This window comes from Homo sapiens, chromosome X (genome assembly GCF_000001405.40).
Source record: "Homo sapiens chromosome X, GRCh38.p14 Primary Assembly".
NCBI lineage: Eukaryota > Metazoa > Chordata > Mammalia > Primates > Hominidae > Homo > Homo sapiens.
The window spans coordinates 17,968,663-17,992,186 of record NC_000023.11 but is presented as its reverse complement, the minus strand read 5'-3'; the positions used below and the strand labels follow the sequence as shown (position 1 = coordinate 17,992,186).

Genomic DNA, 23,524 nt, shown 5'->3' with positions numbered 1-23,524 from the left:
TCTGGTCTGCAACCCTGAAGAAAGCCCTCACCAGAACCTGATCATGCTGGCACCCTGATCTCAGATTTCTAGCCTCCAGAACTGGGAGACATAAATTTCTGTTGTTTGTAAGCCCCCCATTGTATGGCACTTTGTTATAGCAGCCTGAACCAAGACATGGTACTTAAAAAATGTCAGAATGTATTTTTACTTCAGTTTAGTTCAACAAAAATTTACTGATCCTCTCTGTACCTCACTATTTTCTTCTGTAAAATGAGAACAGGAATAGAAACTATCCCTGGTGTTGTTCTTAGGATTAGATGAATCAGTATGTGTAAAGCATCTAAAAGTGCCTGGCACAAGGTGGATGCTCAATAATTATTACCATTTTTTTTATCATTACTGAGCATCCCTCACTACCAGACACTTACTGAGCATTTTATGTGAAATAGTTGGATCTTTTTTATTGCACTACATCATTCCATTGTATGAACACTCTTTATCCATTCTCCTGTCAATAGACAGGTGAGTTTCTTCGTAGTTTTTGGCTATTGTTAATTAAGCTGCTATGAACCTTTTTGTAGTCATCCTTTGCAGGATATGTGCACCCATTTCTCTTCCATTTCTCTTGCGTACATACCTGGAAGTGGAATTGATAGATCACTGTTCAGCTTTCTAGAGGCTGTCAAACAGTTTCCAATGTATTGACAATACTTATCTGTTAATGATCTACTTTGTGCTAAGCACGGAACCACCAGCTGGGTTCTGAAGCTATACGATAAACAAGACATAGTCCCTTCCCCTGTGGAGTTAGAAATGCTACCCCCCTAAGTAGCACTTTAAATATCTTGGCTCTTACTGTTCCCTTTTTATCTTTCAACAGAAGGACAGGAGTGCTACGTACAGACAAAAAGGTTGAAATGCAAAAAAATGTAAGTGACAGGCTCATGATCTCTAGAATCATAAGGCAAATTAGCAGTGAAGCTAGAACTAGCAGAACAACAACAACAACACAAAGAAACAAACACGCACACATTCCACTCTTTTTTCTGAGCAACTAGGTCATAAAGCTTCAAAGGGAGGCCATCCTCAGATATATGCAGTAGTGGGCAGTTCATGCCCCTGCCTGCTTTTATTAGGCCAACGTGCAGTACACTAGGTGAGCATAGCTGAGACACTGGGGAGCTCCTGAAACCTTTCTCTATGCTCTGGAAAAATCCAGCATTGAGCTACCTGAGCTAGTCTTTAGTTTGGCTCTGTGCGAAAGCAAACAAGAGGAATATCAGTAGCTACCTTTCCCTCTGCATAAGGAAACTGGACATCTTAGTGAAAAAAAAAAAAAAAGACACATTTGGGCAACCACAGTTAAATGTTTTATTTGGCACAGAGAGACACATTCTAATTCAACATAGGGCTGAACTGATATGAACACTTTTGGGTGGAAGGGAGATACCAGGGTTACTCAACCTTGGCACTATTGACCTTTGGAGCTGGATGACTCTTTGTTGTGGAATTGTTCCGAACACTGTAGAATGCTCAGCAGCATCCCTGGCTCCCACCCATAGATGCCAGCAGCACCCAATTGAGACAACCAAAATGTCTTGAGACATTGCCAAATGTGTATGGGGGAGCAAAACTGACCCTGGTTGAATCACTGGGATACACTTATGTTAAGAATGTGGGACAGTTGAGCTTTCCTATTTCCTAACATTCTAAATCTTGCAGGTGGGTCCTATTGTAAGGGAGAAGGGCCGACATTTAATATCAAGGAACTCTGATACTCCATAGACAAGTGTCAAGAACACTTAGTGTTTTACTTCCTTAAGGGAAATAACTAGAATATTAATACAGAATAATAAACAGAAAACCCCATTTCAACTATTGGAAAATCTGAGTTATGTCATTTTTCAATATGATTTTACTTCGAATGCAGCAGGGTGAGCTTTTCAGAAACTTCTTTGCTGAATAATGATTTGCAATTTTGTATCAGTTGCGTATTAATAGATATTATGAGAGTGCTTTAAGAAGAAAAACTACTTCTTCTCTAAATGCTTTGTTTTTGTTGATGTTATTGACACTTGTGATTTTCCCTATCTCTAAATAAAGGTTTAGGTAAACAGATGTTAAATTTTTGTTTGGATCTTGCCTAATTATGGTCCAGCAAGGCCAGGGGAGTTATTGTTTTTCAAAGAAGGATCTTCTTTTCCATAACGATAAAGGTTTAACAATGTATATATCTCTCATTCATTCATTCATTCACTTAAAAAAAGGTAATTATTCAGCCTGAGCAACAAGGCAAAACCCCGCCTTTACTACAGGCCTGTGCCACCATAAGCCAGGCATGGTGGCACATGCCTATAGTCCTAGCTGCTCTGGAGGCTGAGGTGGGAGGTTGGCTTGAGCCTTGGAGGTCAAGACTACAGTGAGCTGTGATTGCACCACTGCACTCCAGCCTGGGCAACAGAGTGAGACTCTGTCTCAGAAAAAGGTAATTATTGAGCATCTACTAGTTGCTCTGTTATGGGGATATAAGTGTGCACAAGACAGGCACAGAGTGCATGCTGGTGGTAGTGGGTGGAAAGCACACTATGGAGCACCAGTGGTGGTATATTCTTAGTTCTAGCTTTGCCAGTGGCCACCTCTCAGACTTTTGGAGGGCCACTTCATCTTTCTGGAACCATGTATTAAGTGAGATAGGTGGATTAACTAAAATGGCAAATAGGTTTCACCTCTAGTGCCAACACATCAATTGCTATTGGCTGCCCAGAGCACTTGATTATGAGGTTCTATCTTCATTTAATGGCCACGAGGGCTATCACTGATTACTGATGTCTGGCATAGGCACACTGTGGAAACTGAGGGCAATCCGCATGAATTTGCCATCCCTGGACTTCTAAGGCTTCAGATTCTGTGATTTGCAAAGACTCTGCCCTTTCTATTTCAGTATAGTTTGGTGTAGGTGAGCAAGGTTATTTAAGTTTCTTACTTTGGAAACAGGCCATATTCTCCCTTTGCCCTATCCTCCACTTCTAATTTTCTTGTTCTGGTCCTAGAGAAGAACTGCAAATTAATTCCATAATACCATTCCCCCAAAGGTTAGTTTGCAATATTTTCTGACATCCTCCTTCATCTTTGAAAAGATCAAATAAGGCAAAACTTGACCTCCCTTCATTCAGGGCCTTTTTAGGTAAATGATTTCCCCGTGTAGTGAGAGATGACTGTTTTCTTAATTTTGAATAGATGAAAATAAGCACCAATCAACAAACCTTTGGCTAGGAGGAAAAAATCCCTTTAACTCACATTTTGCTTCAATTACATTGAGGACAAAGGAGCACATCACACCCTGTGCATGAATAGATGCTTCATTATTCAAAACAAGCATCAAAGAGCATTTCGTCCCCTATAGAAAATACGCAATCACTGTTTAATTCAATGGTAGGATGCAAATTTAAATTCCCATAAGGGAAAGGCTGTTAATGCCATTTAAATTGGTTGTAAATTACAGATAATACGCTCGAGACCCCCGAATACAGATTAGTGGAGTATTGCTTTAGGAATTCATTTCTACTTTGAACTTATTGTGTATTTATCTATGAAAAATAAAGCCATGAAGCCTTGTTTACAGCTACATTTTATTGCCTATCTTTTTTTTTTTATTTCTGAAGCAAATATTTCACTTTTAAATGCCATGGAGATGGTTCAGTGTAGTACAAGGAAACGCCATGATGTTAAACAGATTAGTCTTAGAGGCCACTCTTCATTAAAAACAAACAAACGAACAAACAAACAAACCGAAGAGAGAGGCAGTACGATGGCATTTGATAAAAATATCACATAGCTGACTTTTCTATCTTTTTACCTCATTTCTTTTGGTGTTCCTGCCATTTAAAAAGCCCACGGTCGCAAGACAATTATGCTTTTCAGAAATTAGAGGCTGTGATTATCTCTTGCTGCTAAAGTATGTCAACCACTTAGAGGTTGTTTCTCATTTTCACAGATTAACTAATCATGAGTGGGATGCCTGATGGGTGAGTCTTTGTTGGAAGAATTATTCCTTAAAAACAAGGGCCTTTCAGAAGAAGAACGTGTTAGATAAAAATGGACACTTTTCAACAAAGGTTTCTGAGCTCCCAGCTTGAAGAATAGCAATTTCCCTCCCAGCTCAGAGAAGTAAAAACTATTCCTTCTTTGATGTGGTTTCATGTCTCACGTAGGAAATAGGGTTATGTGGGTGATAAAAATAAATCAGCTCTGAGGCTCATGTTTTCTTCTCTGGCAGCCTAGGGGGTGTGTTTTTATTTTGTGAGTGTGAAACTGAAAGGTATATAAAAAAAGTTGCCATTGATATATACACACACAATGAAGCCAAGCTATGGAACAATGGAGGAATGCCTAATTCATTATGCCAGAAAATGGATCATTACCATCAATACCACATGGAGTTAATCATTTCCAAAGAGCTATAGTACCAGGATATCCATAACACTGCACCTAAATGGAATAATGTTTTATTTTTTCTTTGATCTGTCACAGGTACTTCAATCTTTGCCAGGACTCTAGTGACACTATAAACATTTCATTACATTGTTCCTATGAATTACACAAACCTTGTGATAGCTCTTGAAGTTAATTGAATTTTTTTTAAATTCCCAGTATTATCTTGTTTGTCATTTTGTAATGCTTTATAAAATAACATGGAACCTGACCCTCCTTTTCTTTTCCTGGCTATTTGCATTTAGGTTAAATGGGAGTTTTTTCTTTACAACTAAGGATAAGGATGAAAACAGCTAGTTGAAACCCAAGAGTAAGGTAATCTGTTCACGTTAAGAAACTAACAAAATGGGGGTAGCAAGCGTGGGAGGGGCGAATTCATGGTTTAGGATCTTTCTGCTTTCTTTGATAGGATTTGGGTTAGAATAATCTTGATGCAAATAAAAAGTGGATGAGGAGTCTTTGAATTTCATTTTTAAGCCCTCAATGCTCTGGGCATCTGTTCATCTTCAGCCTCATCAGGTGAGGCTAGAACCTGACCTGCTTCCCAAGCTGTACCCATCTGTGCCAGAAGTGAGTGCGTGACCAGCACAGTGGTGCTTTTCTCAGTCTCTCCTGGGGGTGGGTTTGGACATGCATGTTCTTTCTGGGAGAAACCATGGACCAGTGTTGCAGTATGGTGGATAGGCAATGCCAGCCTGCTCTAGATCCCCATGACCTGGCCCACAACTCCCAAGTTAGCAAGAAGAGCAGTGAGGCAGAGCAGAACAAGTACCAGACTTCAAGCCATGCCACCTCGGTTCTCGACAGTCCTCTGTCAGCTCTCTGGGCCTCAGTTTCCTCATCTGGAAAGTGAGGAGGACTATGCATTTTAACTAACGTTTACCACTTAGCACATGCCAGACTCAACCTTGGACCCTGGGCACAAATAAAAATAAGACATCGTTCTCGTCCTCCAAGGACTCAGGGGAGGAGCTGGGAGGAATGTAGACAAACTTGTAACCAGATAATGATATTGCAACTTGGTAAGTTCTTAACCCAGGTATAAACAGAAAGCTGTCGAAACCCAGAGGGAGAACCAGTTAGATTTCAGATCACTTCGGCAAAGCCACAAAGAGCACAGGCTTTGAAGCCAGAGCACTTGGGCAAGATCTGGCTTCCCCCTTACTAGCTGTGTGACTTGGGACAAATTACTTAAGCTCTCTATGCCTCAGTTCCTCATTTTTCAAATGGAGGTGATAGTAGTGCCTACCCCCTTGGATTGTTCAAGTGATTAGGACAGTGCCTGGCATGTAATGAGTCCTACATATATTATGCTAATGTTACAGAATTCCCAGAAGTCCATGAGGCTGAAAAGGAGCTAGTGAATGGAAGGGAATCCTTAATTGAAAAAAACAAATCTAGCTGTGTTTTAGAGAGAATAAAGACAAGCATATATTTTGTGCTTATTAGGTGTCAGATGGTTCACTAAAATCCCCACCTGCCACCCCCCCTTGGATGCCCATAAGTCAGTGTCCAGGCTGCAAGCAGGAGCATTTGGCATGGTTAGGAGTACATGGCATGCTTAGGGGTGTTCTGCATTAGGACTAGGGAAGGACCACTGTTTGATCTGCAACAGCTCCCAAAGAACACACACGGATAAACTAACCATCCCCTTGCCAGCCTAGCTAGGTCAGACGGTGGAAGCAAAGTCTGGGGCAGGAACATTTTCGGGCCTCGTTGATTCCTGCCTCTAAGAGGGCAAATAAGCAGGTGGGTGGGTCTTTTAGCTTGGGGAAGGCAAAACTTGGGCAGAACTTGGACCTGGCAGGAATGAAGGCTGTTGGGCTGGCTGGGTGTTAGCTGACTCAGGCCAGGTGAGGGCAACTGTGGGCTGTTTGGGAAAGCCCTTCTGGGAAATGCAAGTCAAAGAGATGGGGTAGAGAGACTCAGGAGGCTGGGCAGGGGTGTTTATGAGCAATGCGAGAGGAAGGAGATCACATGAGGCCCTGGAAATACAACATTGAGTAGGACAGGAAAACAAGTCACATGAGCACACACCTGAGATGGCCAGAGTCACGGAAACAGGGGTGCGCTGGGAAATAATCAACAACAAGCTCTCATGGGGCAGGAAGAGCCACAGAATTTGCTGATTTCCCAAGTGTAGATACCACCACTGTAGCTAACTTCAATCTATCAATGTGATGTCACTAAAGTGCCCGTGAAACATTATTTCCACCGTACAGATACGATAGAGTTACAGATGGCCTCAAGTGCCTTGATAATAGTAAAATGTAGGAAAAGAATTAGAAAGTGATGAGTTCTGGGTATTTATTACCTTTGTTTTGAATAGAGTTTTTAAGTTATAAATTTATATAATTTAATTTTAAATAATAACCATGGTTTGTAATTGGCTTACAAAGTTCCTGATGATTGAACCATCAGCCTGAGGAAGTTGGAGTAAGCTGGCTCCAAAGTGCTACTACTTGGGAATCTTACTGAATTCCTTGGAGCCTCAATTTTCTCAATGTTAAAATGGGATCTTTTTCTCATCAAAATAATCATAACTGGATCACAGGGTTCTTGTGACGGTCAGAAAAGTATGTAAAAGCATTTCAAAAACTGTAAGCAGCATATAAATATTATATACAAATACAATTTATTCTCATGGGTACAGTAACTTAGTGGTCAAAAGGGTAGTGTCTGGAGCCTGGATCTGCCAATCCTGGCTCTGCTTTTGTTTAGTTGTGTGACATGGGCAGATCTTTACTGTTTTGGGGCCTTAATTTCCTCACCTATGGAGTTTCTGTGAGGCTTAAGTGAATTAATATTATAAAGCACTCCTACCAGTGTGTGGCACATGGTGATCACCATTTAAGTATGGACTAAAATTGTTTATCAACCTGAAGAGCAGTCAGCTTGCAGTTCTTCCAGAACCAGAAGGTCTTTTAACTGAGAAATCCAAGATCCTGGCCTCCTCACGGCTTGGATTAAAGGGCCAGTTCCCCTCTAAGCTAACTGACTTGCTCTGTGCTACTGGCCAGTGCTTTTTAAATAATGAACCCCGAAGCCTAATTGCGGAGATAAAGATGCTGCTAGAATCAGATTCCACAGCCACTCACCATAGTAGCAGGGGGTAAAAGAGCTATCTTATTACATGCCTGGCTGGCTCAATTACTTCAGTCCTGACATAGACAGACGCTGGAGCCAGCCCAGGGCAGAGCCCTGGAGTTGGAGGGGTGGCTAGCTGCCCCACGGACCCTGGTCTCATTTACCATCTCTGTCACTATAGTCCCCTGGGCTGGGCAAGGGTAAGAGAGTAGCCAGATAGGATAAGAGAGATGGAGAAGGACAATTTGAGGCAGGAGATAGGAGTCATGGCTCATGGCTGCCATAGTAGCCACAGAGTGGCTCAAGGAATTCAGGGTTCTCAGGCAGAGTCAGAGACAGGTTTGAGGAAGGCGTGTGGGAAGGTGGTCAGGATCTCCTCACCAGGGATGATGAATTCACGTGCCATGACAGACAGATGAGAATAGAAAGACAGGAGCAAAAAAAGCCTTGGTCTGCAAGGTAGAAAAACCAAGGCAGGTTGGTAGGGCAAGGTTTTTCAAACTAAGGAATTGCATCCACTAGAGAGTCCTGAATTCCACGTAGTGGGACCATCATGTTCTTTTTCTCAACAAACTTGAATAAAATCCTGTGACATAGACTGTGAATATAGATTGATGTCCATCAATCCCATTTCCTCTTTTTGGGTGCTCAGACCATGTTTCCCTGTGGCCCTTGCAGCTGGAGACACGTGACTAGTTTCTGGCCAGCAGAGTACAGGCAAAAGTGGTAGAAGCCACTTACAAGCCTAACTATAAATCCTCCCGAGTGATTCTCTCCTATCCTCTCCCTTCCCCTCCGTTTCCCTCTCCTTTCATCCCCTCCCATCTCCTCCCTTTCCCTCTATCCTCCCTGTCCCCATTTATGCCATGATCCTGTGTTGAAGATGGTGGCACCATGATATAGAAAGAGCCTGGAGCCCTAGAGGAGGAAGAAGGCCATTGAGCAGAGCTTCCTAATAAGGATCAGGCTACAACATGAACAAGAAATACACTTTTGTTAAATCACTGAGATTTAGGGGCTGTTTGTTTCAGCAGCTAGCAAGCATTGCCCTGACTAATAACTACAACAATAAAATGGAATGGGGTGGAAGGGAGGGAACATAATGGAATATATTCAATTAAACTAGAGTAGAATAGAACAGAACAAAAACTATCAAAGTGCATTGCAGGTAGTGAAAAATAAATATTGTTTGATGAAGCATTTGTTTCAGTTCAGTTCATATGGATACTCGTTTTTAATATGAATTTTATTTTTTTTGCTGGAGGTGGAGGTGGAAAGTTTTGAAAATCACTGCCTTATAGCTGGAGGGAGGGTTGGGGGTGTGAATCATGAGAAAGCTTTAGGTAAAATGGGGATGCATATCTACAACCCTTTAAGAAGCAAGCTATGCACTTGCTAGCCATCCCTACCTTGTAGATGTTTGTCATGGAAGTTTGTCGATTGTGGCTGTTCAATCCACCTTCCCTTCCTTTGGTAACACCATCCCAGTCTTAGTCTATATAGTTTGTCTGGAGCTAACTCTGTCCGTTGGAATCAAGGAGGAGGACACACATATGAAGCCTAGAAAATCAAAGTGTTCCATTCCTAGAGCCATAGTGATTCAGTGATTGGTTTAGGAATGAACACCTGACCCAAGTTGGTCCAGTCAAACTGGGACTTTGGCTGGAGTTGTCATAAAAATAAGTGTTTTAGTTCCCCTGGTTTTGGAGTTGTGAGGATATAAATCTGAAGCTGCTGGCAGCCATCTTGCTATTATAGGAGAGAATGTGCTTAAGAATAGCACCATCATTGAAGAAGGCAGAGCGAGGAGATGGAACAAAACCAAGTCCTGCTGACATCATTTGAACTCCTGGATTTAGCCATGCCTGAAGTCATCCTTGTAGTTTTTAATTGATTCTATACTTTCACCTCTTTGCTTCTTCCCATTTGAGTTGGGTTTTTGACAGTTGTAACTGAAAGGGTCCTGAGGCTGTGTCTTCTACATCTTTAAGATGTCTTTTTTTTTTTTTTTTTTTGGTAAAATGGGCCTCAGAAAAAGTGGAAAACAGCTGGTCCTCAGGATCCTCCAGCCTTTGCCAAGGAAAAGTGGTTTTAATCACTGAAGAATGAGGCTTCAACATATGGAAAGACTGTAAGGTAAAGTAAAGGAGAAACTCATTTTTTCATGTTTTCTGTTTTGAGAGGATGAAGAACAGATGAATATTATTAGAGCTACTAATACATTTCTCTTCATTTATTTAGCAACAATTTATTGAACACCTTCCATGTGTTAGGAACTATGTTAGTCCCTGGAAATTATTAGGCCATGGAGATATTATTGAGTAATAACAGAACAAATTCTTATGAAGAATTTGTTACGTGTCAGACAATTCTGAGAACCTTACGTTTGTGAATCTTACTGGTCTTTCACATCTATTCTATCAGGCAGATACTATTACCATCTCTCGTTTTACAGATGAAGGAAACTAGGTGCAGAGGTTAAGCTAAGAAGAATCAGAGCTAGTGTTGAATGAAAGACTGATTTCCAGTTTAAGTCTTAAAGTCATTGAACCATGTGGTCTTTGCTGACCCTAAGCTCGTAGTTGTCCCTGCAAACAACCATCCTCTAAGCCTCTTAAGATCTCTGCCCTGAGTCCTTTCTACTTGAATTCAGTTTAATGAAGTCTGACTTTGACTTTGACTTGAACTGTAGCATCACTTGTTCAATTTCAGGCACTGCTCAACTTACTGTTCTGAAATTAATCTAACCATTAGCAATATGTGTGATCTGGGGAAAGGGAGGGTAATAAAAAATCACTTAGAGATACAGTTCAGCCTAATGGTTAAGAACACAGTTTGGGGACTCATCCTAGATACTGGGTTTAAATCCCTACTCTCCTATTTTCTGGCTGTGTATCCTTGCGGAACTTACTGACCCTCTCTGAGCTTTTGTCTCTTTATCTTAGAAACGGGGTTAATGATTTCAACTCATCTGATTGTTGCACAACTGTCATAAAATAAGAAAGTTCCTGGGGCAGAATCAGTACCTAGTAAATGCTGGTTGTTGTTATAGCTCTTCCTCTTTGGCTCTTAACTCCCTGTTTGTTAAATGAGGAGCTGAGCAAGATGCTCTCTGAGGTCTCTGCTGGCATAAGTGTGACTAGTATTTTCCAAATGTTAATTTGGGAATGGCAAATTCCCATTGTCATGGTTTTTCTTCTTAAAGACTTATTTTCTGTCGTGTTTCTGTAATTTTGGGCTTTGCATGCTAGTTTGAAACAGCCAAAGGAGCTTTAAGCCTTTTGTGTGACATCATAACTTGGTGCCCATAAATTGATGAAAAGCCATATACCAAACCAATGAGGAGAAGTCCAGGGGCTGATGGTCCTGGACATTCTCCTGGTTTGGTGCTGGGGGCAGAGGTGGCTTGGCTTCCCCTTGACTCTTCTGACAATCCTGAAGATATTCTCAACCCCAAGCTAGAGGTGATGACATTGTGGGAGGAACAGGGAGTGAGGGAGAGTAGGGGAGGGGAAAGGAGAGACAGCAGGAGGAGGAGAGGGAGGGGAAGGAGCAGGGGAGGGAACATGAGAGTAAAAAAAGAAGAGGGTGTTAGGGAGAAGGGCAGAAGGAGTAAGGGGTGGGGTAGGGGCAAGGGGTCACTCCTCCCACAAGAGGAGGGGAGAGGCAGGAGAAGGGGCAGGGGAGGAGAGGGGAAGGCTAGAACTCAACTAACTAGGAGAACACAGACATAGAGCTGGGTGGGCAGGTTGGGGAGGTCAGCTCAGACCTCACTACAAAATGTTCAGTTGGTTCTGGTAGAACCTGATTTCTGAACCATTTTGTTGAAAAACATGGAAGACACCCCAACACAGAAGACCATATGGGACTGAGGAAGAATTAATGAGCATAGAATCCTCTTTAAAGGTGAAGCTACCATAATGCAATTGAACTTTTTTTTCCACTCTGCATGTCATTCACAAATCATGGTTTATTTTACCCTTGAAATACCAAAGCGAAGACAATGCAAACAAAAAAATAGGTAGAATAAATGCCTATACTTCTCAACAAGACACTCTTCAATGGGATACATTTTCCTTCAATCACTCACTTATGCACTGCTTTATCACCAGTCGCTCTTTGAGCATCTATTCTTTATCATTCCCTATGCTAGATTGTAGGGATTCAGAGATAACTAAGACACAGTCCCTGCCCTATACAACAATGAAAATGCTATGCCAGTTTTGATGCTCCTCCCTTTTAGAGGTAAGAGTTCATGTCCTCTTCCCTTGAATCTTATCTGGCCGTAATGACTCACTTGTAGTCAATAGAATGAAGTGGAAATAACTTATGAAATTAAGTCACAAAAGGCAATACAGCTTATTCTTCAGTTTCTGGGACACTCACACTTAGATCTTGAACTACTATGAAAGAATTCCATTCTATCACTGATGGGCATTTGGGTTGGTTCCAAGTCTTTGCTATTGTGAACAGTGCTGCAATAAACATACGTGTGCATGTGTCTTTATAGCAGAATGATTTATAATCCTTTGGGTACACCATGGAATACTATGCAGCAATAAAAAAGGATGAGTTCATGTCCTTTGTAGGGACATGGATGAAGCTGGAAACCATCATCCTCAGCAAACTAACACAGGAACAGAAAACCAAACACTGCATGTTCTCACTCATAAGTGGGACTTGAACAATGAAAACACATGGATGCAGGGAAGGGAACATCACACGCTGAGGCCTGTCTGTGGGTTGGGAGGGTAGGGCAGGGTTAGTATTAGGAGAAATAACTAATGTAGATGACGGGTTGATGGATGCAGCAAACCACCATGGCATATGGCACCTATGTAACAAACCTGCACGTTCTGCACATGTATCCCAGAACTTAAAGTATAATAAAAAAGAAAAATTATCCCAAAGCATGATACATATGAATTAAATGCCATTAGTCTTTACACACTATTAAAAAAAAGAAGTATTCCGACTACCCTCAGGCCACCATAGTGTGAGGAAGCCCAAGAAGTTACATGAAGAAGTAATGTGTTCTGATAAACAGACCCAGTGGATGTCCCAGCCAACAGCCAGATCAACTGCTGGACCTGTGAGTGAAGACTCCTCCGGGAGATTCCAGCCCCCAGCCATTCAGTTACCTCTAATCATTGAGTCTTCCTAACTTAGATCCCAAACAACAAGGAGCAGATGCAAACCATCCCTACTGTGTCCTGTTTGAATTACTGACTCACAGAATCCATCCATAGGCATAATAAAAGTGTTGATTTATGTCACCAAGTTTGGGGACATTTTTAAATACAGTAGTCATAATTGAAACACTGTCCATTTGTGAAACTTGCTGGGATTTATAGACAGCAATTTAAAGAAAATTACCATCCTCAGAAGTTCACAGCCTGAAACGGGCAGACCCAACCCGAGGGGCTTAATACTTGACAACCAGAATGTGTGAAGGGGACTAAAAATCTGGTCCTCTAGGCAGCTTTATTCAACAGCCTCCAAATGACAACTAAAGCCCCCCTTCATATCATGACTCAGGGATATGCCACCTGCTTAAGCTCAGTTTCATTTCCCACCAGTCAGTCTTTTCTAAGAGCAAGGATACCCACCCATGATGGCCATGCATCTAAGAAAATGTGATTCCACTATGGAGTACTAGAATGCTAGATCTAAAGGAGGTTTAGAGATCATTCAGTCCAACCCTCGCACTTGCCTATCAAGGAAATTACTGAGGTCCAGAAAGATTGGATGCTTTATCCACAGCCACACAACTAGTTGGTGGCCAAGTACCAGGAATCAGGGCCCCTGCCTCATTTCTATACTCTGCTGCCTCTTCACGTGAACATCAGGGAAGCCATTGTACTCTCAGTGGCATCATGTGGAAGTTCCAAACACAGATCATGGAGTCCTATAAACCTGGTAAGAATCCCAGTTCTGCTCCTTGCCAACTGTACGAAGATGGCCAAGTTCACCTCATTGAGCGTCCAATTTCTCATCTGTAAAATGGGGGATAATTATAATACTTATCAACCAGGGTTTGTTATGAAGATTAATTGAGATGATGCACAGAAAACACATAGCATTGTGCCTGGTCCATAGTAAATATTTATAAAGCCCAGGTCTCTCTAGAATGAAACATTCTGGCCTATACCTTGCAGAAGTACAGAAAGATGTGTGATGGATTTGGGGTTGAGTGAGGGTTTTTTGTTTTATTTATTTACTTATTTATTTTTATAGAGATGGGTCTTGCTATGTTGCCCAGGCAGGTCTCCAACTCCTGGCCTCAAGCAATCCTCCTGCCTTGGCCTCCCAAAGTGTTGCATTGTTTGTTTGTTTGTTTTAGTTTGAGAGCGATCAAAGATGGTTCAGGCCAGCACTGCCACCAGCTCTCTGGTAGAATTAAGTGGCTGCTGGCTTTAGCTGAGCAGCTATAATATTGACTCATCCTCCCCTCTCTTCCCTGGATGCCTGCCAGTAGAGAACTCCTTGAGTTGTCCCTTCTGAGACATCTCTCCCTGTGAATGCCATCTCAGCTTCTCTGGGTATAAGGCACCTTGATCTGATTCTTTCCCTGTCTTGAATCTCCTTGTGACCATCAGCATTGAAGACTCCCTGTGAATACCTATGAGGGCTTGCAATGTGATCAGCTTCCTGCCACCTTGTGTCAGTGGAGTCCCATGGGAGCAGCATGAATGCACCCCAGGGAAATGAACATCCATCTGCTCAGCTCTGGCTCCTGACAGATCGCAGCACCCTACTGGCCTCCTATGCCAGGGCAACCTCCAGATCTCGGCTCTAAAGTTGGGGAGACAACTGCTGGGAGCCCTGAAACGGAAGGAAGCTGCAGAGGACAGCCCAAGCTGACATTTCCATGCAGGAGTGTGGAGCCAATCTTATGTCAGCAGTGGTGCCAATTACCAGAGAGAAAGGGCTGAATTTCCTTCTGGCTTTCATGGGACCATGCAGTCATTCTCAAACATTTCTTACAAATGTAGTGTCCCGGGCATTATCTTAGGCCCACAGCAGGGTACGAAGATGAACAAAATGGCAATGTCCCTGCTTTCTACAGGCTCATAGTCTTTTGAGAGAAGCAATGACAACATAGTGTGATCAATATTGAATTTGTCATATGTGTGACGTTAGTAAGGGATTTAGAGGACATGGTTGTTGGTACTGTTGGAGGTACAGAAGTGGGGTGAGGAAAACTTCATGGAAGAGGGTGACATTCTGCCTAAGTGTGCTCAACAATGAATAGAGTTTGGCTAAAGTCATAAGTGAGATTTAGGCCTAGGGAACAGGAAGTGCAAAAAAAAAAAAAAAGGGCAGGGGGACTGAAAGAATATGGAGTGTTTGAGGGAGTACAAACCACCTAATGGGAAGGGGAAGAGAAGGATGGGAAAAGAGCCAAACTTGAGAGCCCTTGGGAGCATATAAAATCTGAAATGTGTACTCTACTCCATAGGCAAAGTGAAGCTACAGAAGGTTATTGAGCAGGGGAGGGCCACATAGTTTTATATTTCAGAAGGATAACACTGCTCCCGGGATGGAGGGTGAAGCAGATGAGGCTGAACTGAAGGTGGGGAGCCCGTTTAGCAGACTTTGGCTTCATCCAGGCAGGAGGAGATGCAAGCTTCCATGTAAAATGGAAGAAGTTGGTAGGGTTCCGTCTAGCAACAGCCTGACCAGGCTGAACTCACACACACTCCTTCTGTATCTCCCAGACCCTGACTAGCAGCAATTGCTGCATAAATATTTGTTAAAGGGATGAACAAATGTGGAATGCCCTGTCTTCTAAGGACTTCTGATGAACGTGAATTGGTGACTTTGCAAGACCCCAGATTGTGCTTAGATCTTGACCTTCTGACGAGGAACACAGAGCCTTCAGTTTGCGACAGGGCAAAAGAGGACTGCTATTGCTCTGCCCCAGTCATTCTAGGTAGTATAAGGCTCATTATTTAGGAGGAGCTATGAAACAGGCCATGAAGTTTCCCTGGCATCCACTAATTTTGTCTGGAGTCCAGAGACAAGGGAGCACTCCCGTCTCTTACAGTTCCTGTGTCCATTTGGAACTGTTAGCTCATCTTTGTGTTTTTTAAGTCCTGGAGATGGGAGGGGTGCCAGGGTTTGGGTGCCCTCAGAAGCAGATCCAGAGACAAAGATTCAAATGCAAGTATAGTAGTACCTCCTTATCTGAGGGGGATACGTTCCAAGATTCCCCCACTGGATGCCTGAAACTGCAGATAGTGCCAAACCCTATATAATTTATGTTATTTTTGGATTGGATCCCTGAGCCAGCTAAGAGACTCACAGGTGGGGAGCATCTACAGCGTGGAGACTCTGGACAAAGAGAAGATTCATGTCCTCAACAGGACAGAGAAGACAGCACAAGATTTTATCACACTCAGAACAGCACGCAATGTAAAACTCATGAATTGTTTATTTCTGGAACTTTTCATTTAAAGTTTTTGGACTGTGGTTGACCTCAGGTAACTGAAACCAAGCTCTGAAAGCAAAACTGTGGATAAGGGGGAGCTGCTGTTGTTTATTTGGAAGGTGGTCTTGGGAGATGCTGGTTGGAAAGTGGAGAAGGAGAGAGAAGGAAGCTGCTACTTCATGTGTAATAGGCAAGTTCCCACTATGGACTCCTGCGGAGCAATTCCTTTGGGGACTCTGGAGGATGGCTGAATTCACTCCAGAGTTATCCTCCTAGAGGGATGAGGAAGCTGGGCTATTTCTCCATCAAATCTCACATCTGTCATTGTTTGAGGGCTGCTTCCAGGGACATTAACTCTACAGCATTTCCATCTTGCCCTGAGCACCAGCCAAGTGCATCCTCGAAGAGAGTTATGGATGTTTTTCAGTTGGCAGCCTGAATGTAGAGGGAGGAGGATATGCAAGGGTGCCAATAGGATTTGCTACAGGAGCTCACAAGCACAGGGAGGGCATTCTGCTCCACCCTAGGAAGATTCTTCAGTCCCTAAGTTCAGTGTGGGGAGAGTAGAACAGTGTGGGGAGAGTGAAAAACACTGAGGTTCGATCAAAATGCATTGCTGCTCTCATGCAGGGTATTGAGGTGCAAGTGTCAAGGGCCCGGATTTATTTATTTATTTATTTATTTATTTATTTATTTATTTATTTATTTATTTTTGAGACAGAGTTTCTCTCTGTGGTCCAGGCTGGAGTGCAGTGGTGCGATCTCAGCTCACGGCAACCTCTGCCTCCTGGGTTCAAGTGATTCTCCTGCCTCAGCCTCCCAAATAGCTGGGATTACAGGCGGCTGCCACCATGCCCAGCTAATTCTTGTATTTTTACTAGAGACAGGGTTTTGCTATGTTGACCAGGCTGGTCTTGAACTCCTGACCTCAGGTGATCCACCTGCCTCGGCCTCCCAAAGTGCTGGGATTACAGGCGTGAGCCACCGCACCCGGCCAAGAGGCTGGATTTTAAAAAATATCTTTGTGCCTGTCTCATTCAAAGTTCAAATAAGATGATCACTTTGGGTTTCAGCATCTTTTTGAGAGTGGTGGGTAGGAGAGTAATACTATCATATGGCATGGCTGTGGGATTGGGGGTTGTGGAGGGAGACTTTAGTACCTCCGTAATTTCCATCAGCCTTCCTCCAAAGCCACTTTGAATAAACATAGAGACCACAGTGAAGCCAGGTGACTGCAAGCCAATGCAGCTAGACAAGTCGCTCAGCCCACTTCAGACTCTGTAGAACAGAATGCTATCCCAAGTCCTAAGACATTCCAGAGCTGGCAATCTTCAGAGACCTTGGAACAGTGATCCAGTAAGTCTTAGAATCATGGTGGTGGGGGTGGGGGGCACGTGTTGAAAAGGCAGATTCCTGGGCTGCACTCCCTGATGCTGATTCAGTGTCTAGAGAGAGTGGGACGTAGCAATTTGCATTTTAAACAAGAACTCCAGATGATTCAAAATAAAGGTTGAAAAGTACAGTCTTAGAATGTTTTGAGCATAGAGTAAAAGGAAGAAAATGGAGGAAAAAAAGAGGAAGAAAGTGAAATGGTCATGAGATGAGGAAAAGAAGAGGAAGAACGAGGAGAACACCTCAAATAGGGCAGGCGGCTGTGAGTGGCATAGGTTGCCAGGCAATGACTTCTGTATCAAATAATTGCTTTACAGCTCTGAGCATTAAGAAGCAGCCTTCCCGCTAATAAACTCTGAAGGCAAACATGAGTATTTGAAGCTACATAATGTAAAGGAGTAGATTAAAGTAAGAGAGATTATCAGGCTGTCTTTCAGCTGGAGATAAATATCTTTTCTGCAGTGCCAGATCAAGATGAGACAGGTTGTGTGTACCCGGCAGGTCTTCCCACACATTACAACTTAGAGGGAACCAACACCTCAGGAATACCTGGGGAAAAAGGAGACCCAAGAATGCCTGCATCTCATAGTATACAAAAACATTAATTTTCCAGAAGCTATTTTTTTCTGCTGTGTTGTTCTTACGTGAGCTAAACACAGCATCATTATCTCAGTAATAGCCAAAACAAAAACAAAACCCAAACACTCAAAAACCCAAAATGTCTCTGAAGCTGCTTACACCATTTCAGTCTCGAAGGGAACTTAATGTGGATCTACTAAGAGACTGCATGGGTCAAGTTCAGGCAGCAAAGGACAAACTCTTGGTAGAGGTTTGTCCAACGGTTCTCACACTTGAGCATGTGTCAGAATGACCAGGAGGGCTTGTTAAAATGTATTGTTTGGCCCCATCCTCAGAGGGTCTGATTCAGCAGATGGGGCCCAAGAATTTGTTGGTGCTGCTGGTCTGGGGATTATACATTGAGAACCACTGGGTTGGACCAAAGTCCAAGGTTTAGACCAAGGTCTAGAATGTCCAAGGAACAAAGTATATGAAAACTTGTCTAAAAATGGGGCAACAAGAGAAAATATCCACAGACCCTAGTCAAAAGCATGAGCAAGGGGAATCCTGAAAGATGAATACTCCCGTATCCTGCTTGGATAAACATTTCTACCTCCTACCTGCATGCCTGCTTCTTGGGGAAAGGACCTTGGTGTGGTGGCGCCATAATTCTCCACACTCCTTCAAGATGAAAGTGATGTATTTATATCTGCTCTATTAAAAGACACCAAGTAAAATGGGAAGCTCTATGTCAACCCTTGGCTTAGAATTCAGGTCATTCCCAGCCTTGGGAAAGACTAGACACCTTCCTATGAATAATGGACTCCCTGGAGACCCTTAATTTCCACCCATTAATTTTCAACACTTGGAACAAGCATGATACATGGTCTCATACTTCCAGTTTCTTTCAGAATCCTCCAGGCCATTTTATTTATTTATTTTTTTACTTCCCTAGAAGTAAGGCAGTTTTGCTGGACATAAACTCCTCGGGACATGTGACTTGAGCTATGACTTCTCACAATATACAAAAACAGGATCTCCTTAGTTGAGGCTGTAAATTAGGCTAATGGAAATGAATATGGTAGCTCTCTGAGGTCACTAGGAGACACTTTGGGGCTATACTTACTGCAAAAGGAGAAGGGCAGCTACTTTAAAAATCCCAGAGGGGGCTTTCATTCATCTTCCTCAGGCCACCATTCTATCCCAACCACAATGTACCTCTCCATTTGCATGCACAACCCAACTAGAGCCCTTTACTTTGGCTTTCACTTTCATCTGCATCTATTGATTACCCACAGATATTCAGATCTCTAAATCATAGCATGAATTAAGGTCATAGATTAAATTAGGAATAAGACATTGAAGGAGAATCTCTTTTTCTTTTCTTTTCTTTTTTTCCTTTTTTTTTTTTTTTTTTTTTTTTGAGGTGGAGTCTCGCTCTGTCGCCCAGGCTGGAGTGCAGTGGTGCGATCTCAGCTCACTGCAACTTCCACCTCTCTGGTTCAAGCGATTCTCCCTCAGCCTCCCAAGTAGCTGGGACTACAGGCACATGCCACCATGTCTGGATAATTTTTTTTGTATTATTAGTACAGATGGGGTTTCACTGTGTTAGCCAGGATGGTCTCGATCTCCTGACCTTGTGATCTGCCCACCTTGGCCTCCCAAAGTGCTGGGATTACAGGCATGAGCCACTGTGCCCAGCCAAAGGAGAATCTCTTAGAGGAACACTTCATAACACTTTGGGGGGCTCCCAGGCTTCTATGAGAAGCTCACAAAATCAGTGGACCTTCTTCCCAGAAAAATGCACCTATAGACAACCTTTTGCAGGTAATTAATTGTACAGATGCCTCAGGTTAAGAATCCATAGATCATACTACAGAAGCATATACTATACATACTATATAGCTCATACCTCATTGAAGTACATACTATAGCTCATATCCCATTGAAACAGAAGATGCTGGTGTAGGAGGAGGAAGGGGGACAGAAGAAGGAGGAAGAAAGAAGGGCAAGCCTCAGGGTAAGCAGCCCCTGTATTGGTCAAAGGGACATAACACTAGCTACTATAACAATGCTCTGAATTTCAGTGTCTTGACACTGAAATTTTCTCTTGTAGGTGTTCCTGGACAGCAAGTGAGTGACTTGCTCACAGGCGGTAATTCAGGGACCCAGGTTTCTTCTACCTGGTAGCTCTACTGTCCTTCAGAACCTCAGAGCCCTGTGCATTCAGCCAGCAGGAGAAAGACCACTACTAAGGTACAACAGCTTCTTTGAAATCTTAGCCTGGAAGTGCTGGCCATCACTTCCAGTCATATTTCATCAATGAGAACTGATTGCACGACCACATCTGGATGGAAGCTGGGCTGGAGAATGTAGTTCCTGTCTGTGAAACCATTTCCTAGCAACAACTCCACACCACGGAAAGCAGAGCATAAAGTTTTGGTGGCCAGCAAGCCATATTGCTTCCTAACCATTGCATGCAAGTGAAATCAGGTTAAAATAGATGGCAAGCTGCCTTGAAAGGGAAAAGACATTATGAAGCCCAAGGCATGGGTAGAATAGGGCAGCTGTGGCCCCACCCTGTTGGTAGCAAGTAGATGAGGTTGCAGACAAATTGTCTTTCAGCCTCAGAACTTTCTAAAACCAGGCGATTAAACCCCTCCTTATCTCTAGCTCTATCCTTTCTTCCTACTTCTTACAAAAGTGCCAGGCCCTGGAACAATTTCCCAATTGCAATGCGTGCTTTCATACCCATCCATCTGAGCCTGATTTCTTAAACCTAAGTAATTTATACAACATGTGAATCGACAAAATATGAATGCAAAAGTTGTTTCTATGGAAATTAAGTTGAAATTTTTGAGAGATTCAATAGTAGCAGGTAGCTGGAAATGCTGTTGAATTACGTGTGTGCCAAACAATTGTAAAAGATGGAAAAAAACATTTAAAAATTGTGGGGAGCCTGGATTTGGTTGGTTAGTTAAAAAATAAGTAAAGCAGAGAATTATTTTTGAAAAGTGGTACACACAATCATTAAACATTCTAGTTAACTTAAAACATGTAAATATACATTCATTCACTAAGCTTTTGATGTGCGTCCAAGTCATTTTCTTTGAATACAAATCTGCTGATAGGAGTTGTGGGTTTTCCTTTTTGCATGAGCCATACTTAAAATGCACTGTCTATAATTTCCAGTTGTAGTTTCTTGAAAGTGGAGCAAGACACTTGTGAAGCAAGCTCAGTGCATAATCCCCCCAATTTTTAGATGATTTTTTTCAATCTTTTACAATTGTTTGGCACACACATAATTTAACAGCATTTCTAGCTATCTGCTACTATCAAATCTTTCCAAAATTTTCAACTTAATTTCCATAGAAAAAACTTTTTGCATTCGTATTTCATCAATTCACACTTTGTATAAATTACTAAGTTTTAATAACAAGTGCAACCGGAATAATTGTCATAAAGAGGTTTGGGAGCAAACACAATCGACTTGCAGTAAGTAAGTAGAGCTTACGCAGTGAGAACAGACACATAGGCTAGTAGAGTATGGCTTGGAGTGTTCAGTGGGCTATTGACCTCAGTCAGCATGGTTTGCAGAGAGAGTAGGGAGCCATGGTTAATTTGGTGTGGGTTGCCAGCCTCCAAGGTGGCCCACAGTGATCCTTGCCTTTTGGTATTCAGACCCTGTGTAGTCTCCTCCCACACTGAATTCATGGCTGGTCTGTGTGACCAATAGAATATGGCAGAAGTGTCCATTGTGTGACTGCAGAGGATCAGTCATAAAGAGTGCAACTTATGTCTTGGTCTCTTAGGTCATTCACTTTGGGAGAAGCCAGTCTTCATGCCATGAGGACGTTCAGGCAGCCCTGTGGAGAGAACCACATGGAAAGGATCTGAGGTCTCTCACCAGCACCAATTTGCCAGCTATGGGAATGGGCCACCTTGGAAGGAGACTGTCCAGCCCAAGTGAAGGCTGCAGATAACTGCAGCTTTGGCCAACATTTGGCTATATTGCTTTGGGAAATCTCAAGCCAGAACCATCTGGCCAAGCTGCTCTTAAATTCCTGATCCACAGAAGTTTTGGAAGGTAATAAATGTTTATTGTTTTAAGGCACCAAGTTTCAGGGTGATTTGTTACCAGTAATAGATAACTAATATGTTTGGCAAAATGGCTACATGTCTGTCATTCAGAGAAGCTTCTGCAATAAGAGGCCTTCCATTGTGCAGGAAACTGACCTACCTGGCTTTGCTTTTCTAGGGGTGGTGGCCATAGACCAAGTGTGAGGTTGTTGATCAGGGTTAGAGCTGTGATCATGAAGGAAAAAGCACCACATGAGGATAAATTCAGAATTCTTGGCCTTCTTAGCACCAGACTCACCCAAGCTAACAAATTTAGGCTTGATTTGGGATATGGGCAGATAACCATAGCTTTTTTCGAAGCTTGGTTCATGGACCAGCAGCATTGGCACACCCCACCCCAGACCTACTGAATAAGAATCTTTATTTTAACAAGATTCTAGGATATTTGTACGCACTTCAAAGTAAGAGATGCACTTAACTAAAGGATCCTGTGTGGTGACTTGGGAATTGAAGGGAATACATTCTAGAAGGGTAGCTTCTGGAAAGGGGTTCCTTTTAACTGGGAGTAGTCTCCAAACCTGATTGGAACTCTGTAGAATCAATTCCTGAATGAGGGCAGATTGGATTTCATGTTTTCCAAGATTAATTCCAGTTTCAATACTCTGTTGGTGTATTTTGTGATCCTCGTCTCCAATTTTCTCTGGTCTTTTTTTTTTTTCTCTTTTTCTTTTGAGACAGGGTCTCACTCTGTCACCCAGGATGGAGTGCAGTGGTGCGATCAAGGCTCATTGCAGCCTCGACCTCCTGGGCTCAGTTGATTCTCTCACCTCAGCCTCCTAAGTAGCTGGGACTACAGGCACATGCCACCATGCCCGGCTAATTTTTTTTGTCATTTCTGTAGAGCCGGGGTTTTGCCGTGTTGCCCAGGCTGGTCTTGAACTCTTGGGCTCAAGCCATCCATCTGCCTTGGCCTTCCAAAGTGCTGGGATTACAGGTGTGAGCCACCGCCCCCAGCCTCTCCTGTCTTAAATGTCTATAGTACCTGTCCCGGGAGCCCTAAATCCTGAGTTTCATCGTCTTCTTTCTTCCTACCCCTTGTCACACTATTGTTTTCTTTAATAGGCAAATTCATTAAAACCCAATAGTGTTTTCTCTCTACTTCAGGGTGCAGAAAACCCACATTTTTGTGATTGTGATATGCCTAGGACACATGGCTTCCTGAGACAGGAAGAAAGCAGACTGCTGCCTTCTAATACATTGTGAGATTCTCCATCAGGGTGTGAGACAAGCCACTGTGAGCTGAAAGGCAGGATTTTTAAGGACCAAGCAGGAGACTGAAGAAGTCATTAATTATGTTATCATAAAAAATATTTGGTGCTTTTCCTTAACATTACAGCTACCATTGCTGCTGGTAATGCCCTTTTATTTGTCCAGGGGGGTTTGCTCCCATTAGATTAGATTAAGTGTCTCATCCAAGGCACAATAACAGATTTGGCTCCG

At 42.7% G+C, this 23,524-nt stretch overlaps 1 long non-coding RNA gene across 1 annotated transcript in view; it reads left to right on the top strand.

Moving 5' to 3' along the window:
* LINC01456 (long intergenic non-protein coding RNA 1456) overlaps window positions 1-22,014 on the top strand; it is a 134,472-nt gene extending 112,458 nt beyond the window's left edge. Inside the window, exons 3-5 of the long non-coding RNA NR_133641.1 lie at window positions 9,586-9,696; window positions 20,032-20,200; window positions 21,757-22,014. This is a non-coding gene — a long non-coding RNA (long intergenic non-protein coding RNA 1456). The remainder of the gene's footprint in view (window positions 1-9,585; window positions 9,697-20,031; window positions 20,201-21,756) is intronic.
* Window positions 22,015-23,524: the final 1,510 nt, after the last annotated feature.